We start from the raw sequence: 11,452 nt of genomic DNA, 5'->3' as shown, positions 1-11,452 counted from the left end.
AAAGCAAGATTAGCCATCAGAAGATTGGGCCTCCAGTTCTGGCTCTGCCACATTCTAGCCAGGTAACCCCGGTTAAGTCATCTCTCTGAAACTGAGTTTCCTCATCCATAAAGCGGGGTGAATAATTACCCCTTCTATTGCCCAGGGTTGTTCTAAGGACCAGTAAGGTGTCGTGTTTGCAAGCAGTTGGTAATGTATTAAATACTATATGCCTGGAGGCACTGTTACATTCCCTTTATGCCCTGCACAGCCTTAGTTTCACAGAAGGGGCAGATCTGGCCTCCTGGACTTTTGTACTTCAGCCTCACAAATGCTATTACCTGAACAGACGTTACCCCAGAACAGACTGGGCTTTTCCTCAGGATCCCATTCCCACGTCCTCACTCCACAAAACTCTGCACAATGTAAATATGGCCACTGATACAATATTGGTGAGGCATTTATTTTGTTTTCTAGCCTTTGTCAGTGTTGACATTCGTAAAGAAGAGGGATTGTTTTAATACCGACTCAATACTGTGTGGTATATGATGAAACAGCACTGCTGCCGTTTACAACTTTATTCTGAAGAAAATGTAGTCCTGTACCTGCCAACATCTGAAAGCTATAAATAGTGAGAAAAATCGAGAAGCCCAAAAACTCCATTGAAGTGTATTGGATTTGGAGATTTTCTTGGATGGCCAGAATGGAAAAATATTTTGCTAAAAAATAGGGAGTGTTGCTCCGACTGGCATACAGGCTGAAGGTTTAGTTAGTATTTACTCAGCCTGTGGCAAGGGAACACTCGGCTGTTTATTTCAGTGGAGGGGATGTTGGTAGACGCTGTTTGTCTAGTCAGAAATGCCCTTTGAGACAGCAAGGCTACCTGTGACCAATTTTCAACTAAATTTATCTTTGGACTTTGTGTAAGTAATCCAGCCTTCACCAAATCCATTTGGTCTTCTGTGTCACCATGTCACGGAATCCTTACCAAAAATCTCCCAGCTTTGGCCCACAATGATGGCTTCTGATTATTCAGCCAAAGCTGAGTTTGAGACTGAAATGTGAGCTCTGGATAAGTAGACCGAGTTTTGTTTAATGTAGGAAATAGCTATCACTTATTAAATAAAATAGACTGATATTTAACCGGTCATTTTCAAACCTCTTTGCCCCTTGCTCCATAGAAGAATAAATAACACATACTATTATTGACCATTGATCATTGTAACTAGCTTCATTTCATGAAAGCAATTTATGTTTTACTTTATTTCTTACTTGAAAGTGCAGCTAAGGTTTTTAATAACTACTTTCATTGCCATTCTGACACTGACATGGTGAACGCTCGAAAAATGTATTATTTTTCACTCTCAAGCACTGCAAGTGTATGTTCTTTTGACAAAACACAATAGTTTAAAGGACAGAATGGCTGTAATAAAGGGCAAAAATGTGTTTCCCAAATTGTGATTAAATATCAATTACTCTTTGTTAATCAATTTTATTTATTTTCCTTGGCATTCATTTTCATGTGTAATCCCACAGTGTTTTGGGGGCATTGTTATCAAACTGCTCAGATTGAAAGATAGCTCTTTTGAGCCTGGCAAAATACTCAGGCAAAGACTATATCTCCATGACAGTTCACAGATATTTGACTAGGGCAAAAATCAGGCATAAGAATTTGTGAAGCAGGGCTATGATTTGTTTTGTTTTTGTTTTTGTTTTTTGGGTTTTTTTCCCCCATTGTTTTGCTTGTATTCCTCTGTTTATCTCCACATCCTTGTTTCTGCATAATTAACCATTTAATTTTCTCTAAAACCCCGTGAACAGTCATTATTACCCCATTTTATAGATGATAGAATTCTAGCCAGGGGAAGTAAGATCCTAGTGCAGGAAGTTGCATGGCCAGGATTTACCCCCACACCCTCCCATGAGTCTGACTCCCATGCCTGGGCTCTTTCTGCCGGGCCTCAGAGTCTCACAAGGGCAGGAATCTGCAGCCCAAGCTCCCTGTCAAGTTGACAAATGTGTTAAATTCAAAGATAAAAGCCTCCATGTTAGGCTGTCAAGGGGTCAGTTCGCCTGAGCCTTAGCATCCTCCTTAGCTCTATTCCCATACAGAGGCTCTTCTTGAGCTCGTTGCTGCAGCAACAGTACTCAAATGTAGCGGGGAGCCACAACTACAAAGATTTTGACAGTGGGGCTGAAGCATATGCAGAATGGGCCCTGCTTCTGCAAGTCCCAGGGAGGTCAGTGTAACTTACATGTGGTGGCACCACATCAGAGTATCAAGGCATCCTAATGAAGAGCTACTGTCTGGTGGAGAATGTGCAGAGAAACTACTCCTTGGGATTAATCCATGTAGAAGAATTGGCAGTTCCACACAGAAAGAAGGTACACACTGCAAATAAAAGAAATGTGGGGAACCCAGGATGAGAACAGCACTAAATCGGATGCTTTTATTTTCAATTTGTTGTCAATTTGTCTCCTATTACTTCTCTACTGAAAGCCTCATACTATAAGTTTCAGTATTAAAAAAGAATAATCTTTAAACACTTAAGACTGTTTTTTCTAGACACTCATCGTTGGAAGTTTTAAAATTATAACCCAATATCTCTTCAGCTACATCAAAGCCAATAATTAATAATAATAATAAATAATGGTTCTGCTATCCAAAAGTCAGCCACTTATTTCTTTGCCTTAAATATCAATACCAAGAACCAAATCAAAGCCAAAGATATTACCAGATGCCATTGTTGTCTAAGTCATGGAAACAGAAAGAAAGCAATGTGGAAATCTACAAAGAGAAGAGAAAAAGAAAGTGAAAAAGTGGGTACAGAATCACAGATTGGAAAGTAGCAGAACATCATAGAACATTTTGGGCTTGGAGGCCAAGTAGATCTAAGTTCAAATCTCAGCTAAGAAACTTGCAAGATCTTGAGTATTCAGCAAATTATTTCACCCGTCTAAGCATCAATTTCTTCACTAATAAAAATAATATCCATCTCATAGAGATAGTATAAGTAATAAAGTAGAAAGAGTGGCAGGTTTGATAAAGATGTCTACTAGCCTAGAAGAAAATATAAAATAACATCTTGTCCAACTCTCCACCCAGTATAGAAATCTCTTTTTAGCATCTCTGTTCGAGAAAGGCAACCTGCTGAAGATGGACTGTACAATCTAACAAAATGGCCATTCTCTCCATAGCTATACCTATAACAAATTTATTCTTAAAATTAAGCCAAAGTTTAGTTTACCCTAACTTCAAAATAAGCCTCTTAAAAGGTGGGACCAAGACCTGTCATGATGCACCGTTGGGAACTACTTCCCACCTGTTCTGGAGGTTGTCCTTGTCTCAGACAGAGCTACTTGGTCTTTGGTCCTTGGTCCTCGTCTCAGATATGGCTGTTCTGAGACTGACAGTCACCTCAGTCCCCGAGTCTTTCCTAACAAGAAAAGTTCACAGGTCGTCCTTCTCCCATCCTGTAAAAGTGAGTAGTTGATTTGTATTAGTTTTTTTTCGACCTACAAAAGTCATAAGGAGTCAAAGCAGCAGCACAGTTCGAAAAACATAAGGAAAAAAAGGCTGAAATATTATTTCTACTGTTAACATGTTGGTGTCCTTCTGCTATTTTTCTTCCATGCATGAATATATATTTTTCAGCAAAATGGTATCATGCTACATACATCATTTTGTAGCCTTGTTACTATGTTCAGATAATTAGAAGACAGAGATACTAGGCTCAGAGGCTCATCACCTTTCAGGATACTGTGACAACAGACTGGTAGAGAAGTGAATAAATTAGACACCCCCTGTATAATCAAATCAAATTATAATTCAATGATCCAGTCTTCTGCCTATGAATCTTCATTACTGTTTGTAATCTTAAGAGTGCTTTTTAAACTTGTAAAACATTGGGAGTTTTTCAGGTTTATCTAATTAAATAGCAATTAATGTCAAAGAGGCATATTCTCATATTCATCTATAATATCTAAATGTCTGTCATATTCTCTGCTAAAATACAGAGACACTAAGACCCTGTGTTATACCTAGAAATACTTGTCTAATAGCTTCATCCATAAAAGAGGATTGGGTTAGTTTTGTAATCTCGGGGATTATCAGTGCATCTTGGTTGTTTATTCACAATAAGACAAGGCAATGTGGATAAGCGGGCCTAAGAACATGACCCAACGACCAGATGTGGCAGGCCCTGGGAGAGTCTGGCTCCCAGGAGAGGTTCAGCAGGGAAAGTGGCGTGTGGTGTCCAAGGCCTGCAGCAATTCTAACGTCTGCTCAAACATAATGACTGGGCACTTCTGGGAAAAGGACTTTGTTAGAATCATCTCTGTGTTCCTATGGCATTCCATGGAGACTGGCATATCATAATAACCCTTCATGTTATTGTGTGCCTGTTCTATTCCCCACTCCGCTCTAGTCACCTTACCTGTGTAATCCCATTCAATGCTCACAAAATCCCAGTGAAACAGGAGTTGCCAACCACATTGTAAAGATAAGGAACTAAAACCCATGGAAGCAATTAGTTCATAGCCATGTAGCCCAGGAAGTATGGAGCAAGCATTCACTGATTCGTTTTATTTATTGAGTACCTACTACATACCAGAAACTGTCTAAGGGCTGAGGATAGAGACCCTGCTCTCATGGAACTTACATTCTGGGAGGTCAAGGCAAGGGAAATAAACAAAGTCACCAAATAAATGCACAAGGTAATTCTAGAGGATATTAAGTGTCACAAAGACAAAACAGCACAATAAAGTGCCAGGAACTAACTGGTAGTGGGAGAAGAGGACTGATTTAGACAGGGTAGTCAGGAAGGTTCCCCCAAGAAGAAACTTTAGCTCAAAATTTCATGAATAGAACAATCCAGGAATGTGATGATCTGAGGGAAAAGAGTATAAAGGCCGGGAGGCAAGAACAGACCTGACATGTTTAAAAAACAGAAAGAAGGCACATATATATATATAAAGGTAAAGAGTGGTGCGCAGTGATGACAGAGGTAAGCAGTGGCCACATTATCTAGATCCTTACAGGTCATGGTAACAAGTTGGGATTTTATTCTAAACATGGTGAAAACTTTGTGGAAGATTTGAAACAAGAGAGAAATATGATGTGATTTATAACTTTTAGAGATTAAAAAGCACAGTCTTACTCCAAAGCCTAGGCTCTTAATCCTGGGGTAATGATGTGTTTTGAAGAGTTGGTGTCCAATTAATATGGAATGGAGGAATAATGATGACATAGTTCAAGAAGCAGAAATGAGCCCAATGTGTGAGAAGGGAACTGGAATTCATAGTAAGTGTAGTTCATAAGGACAGTCTGCATCGGAGGGATGGATTGCTCAGAGGTTCCTGGTCCCAGCTGTCAATCAAGGATCCAGACCCTAAGAGGAGTCATCTGACCAAAGCAAGCAAGCAGCCAGTTCTTGGATGGACAAATGTACTGGGAAGATTATCAGAACAGGAACAAGAGGGAGGTGGATAAGGAAGAAGCCCAGGATTTATGGGTACTGACAGAAGAAGAAAGGGAAGAAAGCCTCGGGATGAGGAACTTGGAAAATAGAAATACAGTTTGGGGACCGACAGGCAAACTCTGTGATCAGCACTGCCTTTTCTTCTGATCCAATTAGCTCCTGGGAAATACTGTGTAGAACTTGCAGACATTCACATTCTGTTTGGTGTAGGTAGTGCTGCATCTCTGGGTGAAATCAAAATGGAGGGGGAATTTCTCACACTGGGGAAACAAGAAAAGACAAGACAAAGGAAGTTGGGAAGGAAAAAAGCTCCAAGTTTAGCACAATTTTTTCTTATTAACCTCTGGTTCTGATTAACCATCTCCTTTATTTTCTCAAGGCACATATCATGCTTATTTAATTGGCTGTTATAAAATTTTGCAGGATTATTGAAGTCACAACCATAGGTAAATTGAGCAGTGCAAACTTAATGTAATTTTCATAAAGCTAATAAATTTATTCTCCCTTTTCTATCTTTTCTGCTCTGTTTTCTCTCCCTCTTTCTCTGTCTCTCTCATTCCTTCATTTTCTCTCTCCCGCCTTGCTACCTCCTTTCCTCTTTGTATATTTGTATGTACGTGAGTAAAATAAAATAACAAAAAAAGTTTGCAGGGAATCAATATGAACTGGTATTTTCTGTGAGTTTATCTTTTATATTTCTTTGAATATGAGAGCAACATTTACCTTTCTCTAGGCTTGAAGCACATTTTAAATTATCCAGAAATTCTTTTTGAAAAATCACTAAAAAGAATGTCTCCTTCGTGGCTCACTGGTCTTTTCTGTAAGTTCTTTCATTATTTGGGTATAACTCACTTGGATCTGAACACATGAAACCATTTAAATCAACCAGATAGTGGGTTCCCTCACTATCTCTCACGGACTTGTGTTTCAGTTTCTTCTTAATGATGTTTCTTTCATGCTATTTCATTTGAAGAGCCTTGCTGGAGAATGTAAAAGGAAAATAGGAGCTGAGGAGTTCTGCTTTCTGTGTGTCATCTGTTAACGTCGCACCATCTGCCCTGGGCAATTGGCCTATTCCTTCCTCGTTTTTCTGGGTAGTAAACAGATTTACTCAAAGGAAGAAAGAAAGGGGAGAACAAAGGGTGTGCTACATCAGAGGTGGGGGATGGGAGTGGAACGACACCCACTGGTGCAAGATCACAGGCTGCTTACCACATGCCACTGTTAGGCCCCAAATCCACTTGCTTGCTCCCATATCTGTTAAGGCCTCTCTGCACAGCTCCCACCAACGATTTTTAAGATAAACTAGGGGTAATATTGGACAGCAGTTGGCTTTATCTGTGACTGCCATAACCCCCATAGAGAGAGATCAGTCTTCATCTTTAGCTTTCAAAACCTGACTCACGCAGCCCTTCTTTGCAACCTTCCTTTCGCCAGTGCCCCCCGCTTGTGTAGATCTCCTTCCCAAAACTCACACCAATCCTTCTCTTTTCTGTGCCGCACCTGTGTGTTGCACAGATACCACTATTAGCCTCATCACACTGCAACATACCGTTTTTTTATGCCTGTCTCTTAGTTCACAGATTAGTGTATGCATTTGCTAAAACTGCTATACCAAATTGCCATAAATTGGGTGGCTTAAACAACAAAAATATATAGTCTCACAGTTCTGGAAGCAACAAGTCCAGATCGAGGTGTCAGCAGGGTTGTTTTTTCCTGAGAACTGGGAGGGAGAATCTGTCCCATGCCTCTCTCCTTGCTTCCGGTGGTTTGCTGGCAATCTTTGACATTCTTGGCTTCTAGAGGCATCACCCCGAGCTCTGCCTTCATCTTCACATGGCATTTTCTGCGTATCTGATTCTTTGCGTGGCATTCTTTCTGTAAGAATGCCAGTGGGATTAGGGGCTCACCCAACTCCAGTATTGCTTCATCTTGAATTATAACTGCAATGACCTGATTTCCAAATAAAGTCATATTCCAAGATACTGGAGGTGAGGACTTCAACATATAAATTTTGAGGGAACACAATTCAACCCATAACAATCAGGTTCCATGTTTAATTCATTTCATACTTGACATGTACTACACTGCCAAGTCTTCGCCTGAAATCCAAGGCCCTCAAAAATATACATTTAATTGGCTTAAATTAAATATCTCTTCCACTTTCAGTATAGATGCAGGCCAAATTGAGTGTATGAGTTAAATTTTTCTTTCTCAGAGGTAGCACCATTAGGAAACCAGAAAAGCTCTGAAAACAGAAAAGTCTCTGATCTCAAGAGACTTATTCTATTTTATGGTTTCTTGATGGTGCTACCTCTTAGAAAACGAGTGTGGCAAATACTACAGTGGTGTGAGCCCAGGGTATAGTGGGAAGCCAGAGGCCATAAAGATTGAGCTGGATCTTCAAAGGTAAGATTGGTCCCCTCCTATGTGCCAGATAATGGGCTGGATGTACATTTAGTCTCCTAAATGTGACGATGTACATCCAGCCCATTATCTGGCACATAGGAGGGGACCAACCTTTTGTTTTGACTCCCTTGGCCGAACTCTTGAAGAATGAGGCCCATGAAACTTAAATCACATTCATTCTGCAGATCCCTGCAAAGACAGATTTCCTGCTCCTCCTTCAGTTCACTTTATCCTCTAATGGAATTCAAGAATGATGCAATGTAGATGTGAACAGGGCACAAGACTCTCTTAAAGAGGCTCACAGTCTGGTGGGAAAATGACTGTGGCAAATATTACAATGGCATGAGCCCAGGGTACAGTGGAAAGCCAGAGGACATAAAGAGTGAGCTAGATCTTCAAAGGTAAGGAACGGGGAGCCAGGTGAGGAGGTGGGCAAAGATTTTCCAGACAGTAGGCATAGCATTACAGAATTCCAGAGGTCAGAGAGCAGCAAGTCATACCAGTGTCTTAATCCATTTGGGCCACTATAACAAAAATATCATAGACCGGGTGGCTTAAATGACAAATATTTGCTTCTCAAAGTTCTAGAGGCTGGGAAGGTCAAGATCAAGGTGTCAACAAATTCAGTGTCTGTTGAGGGCCCTCTTCCTGTTTCATAGAAGGCCCAGGATTTTATTGCCACATTCCCACATGGCTGAAGGGGTGAGAGAGCTCTCTGGAGTGTCTCTTATAAGGGCACTAATCTCATTCATGGGGATTTCACCCTCATGACTTAATCAGTCTCAAAGGCTCTGTCTCCTAATACATCACCACAGGGTTGGTGTTAGGATTTGGGGGCGTGATTATAAATATTCAGTCCGTAACACCCACTGTGCTGTATGAGTACAGCCCTAAGAGTTTGGGGTCAGATCAAGGGTATCAGGCAAGTTGCGCTAAGCAGCTTGGACTTTAGGCAAAAACTGAAGGGTTTTGAGCACTGGACTAGCACTGCCAGATTTGTGATTTAGAAAGATCACAGATGGCCAGGTGCTGTGGCTCACACCTGTAATCCCAGCACGTTGGAAGGCCGAGGTGGGTGGATCACGAGGTCAAGAGATCGAGATCATCTTGGCCAACATGGTGAAACCCCATTTCTACTAAAAATACAAAAATTAGCTGGGCGTGGTGGCGCGTGCCTATAGTCCCAGCTACTCGGGAGGCTGAGGCAGGAGAATTGCTGGAACCTGGGAGGTGGAGGTGGCAGTGTGCTGAGACCGCACCATTGCACTCCAGCCTGTCTCAAAAAAAAAAAAAAAAAAGGAAAAGAAAAAGAAAGATCACAGACTCCAACAATAATTTATGGATCAAAGGATATCAGTTAGGAACATATGGTGCAACCCAGAAGAGAAAGAGTCACAGGGACTTGTGCTGAAGATACACAGTAGAGACAGAGAGAATCAAGACAGGCTGTGGACACTCTCTAAGCTCCACTGAGATCCCCTGTCATCCTTGGTAACATCTTCTGTGTGCCATCCTCCAGCTGCACTTTTGCTTGCATGCCCACATCCACCTCACACCTGCAACTTTCCTTTGGCGAACACTTCTTGGCATTGGAGTGCCTTGCTCACAGGCATAAAAAAGCCCAAAGTGCCTACAAGTTCACTTTCTACACACCACCCCCACCACCACTAACCCCTCAAATCCCACAGCCTTTAGACAGAGTTTATAAAATATAAAATCTTAAAGCCCAGTTGCTTTGATCATGCTTGGGACAAATCCCAAGGCCCCAGTTACATTCCAGTATTTTCCATGGGCTCAGGCTGAAGCTACTCTCTGGGACATGCTGCCTGAAACTGCACCCTTCCCTGTCTTGCTTCCCTCACTCCTTTCCCAGGTTCTCCTGGAAGCACTTCCTTCACAAATCACTTACACACGAAGCCTTCCCCTGAGATGTCCTTCAGATGAACCTGTACTAAGACAGGAGATTGAGAGCTATTGAAAAAACTGGAGGTGTCCAGAGCTTAGTAAGTGACTGGATGTGGGAAGCTATATTATTAACTAAAAGAAAAAATATTCAGTGAAACTCAAACTATGTTTACAAACAAGTATGCAAGAACTAAAAGGACAAATACTACTCAAGTAGAAAGTTAATTTCATAAGTCCAATTTTTACTGTTCCTTTGACTCTGAGGGAAGAAAGAGTTTTTGCACCATTCAATTGCTCCAGCTTTGTTACTCTAAATTTAGGACACAAATAGGGTGCTGTGGAAATCCATCTTTCTTTAGAAGAATTTTAATATAATAGCCTTTGTATCAAGTAGCTAAGAATGGATTGGAATCCCAGCCAGATCCCCCGGCTGCTTCCTCACTGCCTGCCTCTTGCAATCCCCCCTCCCTTCCTTGTGTTCCCTGGGTCTTCTCCAAATGTCTCAGATTCTTCACGCCCCAGGAATGGGCCTGCACAATGTTCTGCACTGACTGTTTTCATTCTGGTCACCCCCCTCCCCTGACTGTCCTGAGCAATGTTCTTTCTGTCCTTTTTGTCTTTTTTAAATATGTGAGTGAACAAATGTGGGACACGTGGTAACATTCTAGGAAGCCTGAGCTCGCGAGGTAGGACTCTAAAGCACCGAGAAGGATGCTTGTTGTTACTGGTGGATTAAGCCTCAGATTCTGTAAACATATCTTAAGCATACATAGTTTACGATTGCAATCAAATAAAACTTACTGCAAAGGTAATGTGATACAAATGTAATGACAAGTATAATAAGTATTAGTTTGCTATGTGTTAATCTAAGCAAGTCATATAAATGCCATTCAATACTTTTTACATAGGCAGCGTAAATATGTCATTTTTATGCTCCTTTTAGAGAGACTGTAATCAGTATTCAGGCAAATCAACAATTCCCCAATCACACACAATTTAAACAACAAAGTTCCTAAATTTTACTCCTCAGTAATTATCATCCACCTACATTTGAGGGCCTATTTTATGCCGAGCACTGTGCTAGGTGCTGTAGACACAAGGAAAATGACAACATCGTCTCCGTCATCAAGCAATCTGGGTTCTCACTCCCAGCCCCTGCACCTGGGACTAAACATTTCTGGGTTCCACTCCTACTCTCCCAGTTCTTTCATCGCCAGACTTTGCCCTTCATCAGAACATTTCCTTGCACAGTAGCTCATGGTCTCTGTCCCCCAACTCCAGCCTCAGGCCCCAAGACTATAGAAACTGTGGCTCATATCCCCACAGCTTATCTGCTAGGTAAGGCAGGGTGCCAGCAGAACTGTTACTGCAGTGATCTTAGGATAGAGCACATACAAAAAAAAGAAACATGGCACGGTGAAAGGGCCTCAGACAATTAGGGGTGGAAAGTACACAGGAGATGGGGCAGGGCTATGAGAATAGCGAAGAGCAGGCACGGGACAGAGAGGGGCAGCTTGTCCTCTCTTAACATGGCTGTCCCTCTGGGCCCAGGAGCCGTCCTCACTGGGAAGGGATTAGGAGGGTTCTTCCTTCTGAGCAGAACTGAAAGGAATCCAGCAGTGAGGGCAGAGATGATAAAACAAATAATAGTGTGTACTAGGAGCTTGCTAAGCCCCAAA

The 11,452-nt window shown here is 41.6% G+C and overlaps 1 annotated feature.

Annotated features, from left to right (window-relative positions):
* Positions 6,439-7,019: a transcriptional cis regulatory region, noted in NCBI's record as "candidate enhancer chr6.4973 targeted for multiplex CRISPR interference". NCBI's record gives its function as "positively regulates CITED2 gene expression in K562 cells {active_cell/tissue: K562}" and the evidence as "EXISTENCE:mutant phenotype evidence [ECO:0000015][PMID:30612741]".

The sequence above is a fragment of the Homo sapiens genome, chromosome 6 (genome assembly GCF_000001405.40).
Source record: "Homo sapiens chromosome 6, GRCh38.p14 Primary Assembly".
Classification (NCBI taxonomy): domain Eukaryota; kingdom Metazoa; phylum Chordata; class Mammalia; order Primates; family Hominidae; genus Homo; species Homo sapiens.
Note: the sequence above shows the minus strand (reverse complement) of the source record. Positions and strands in the feature narration are given on the sequence as shown.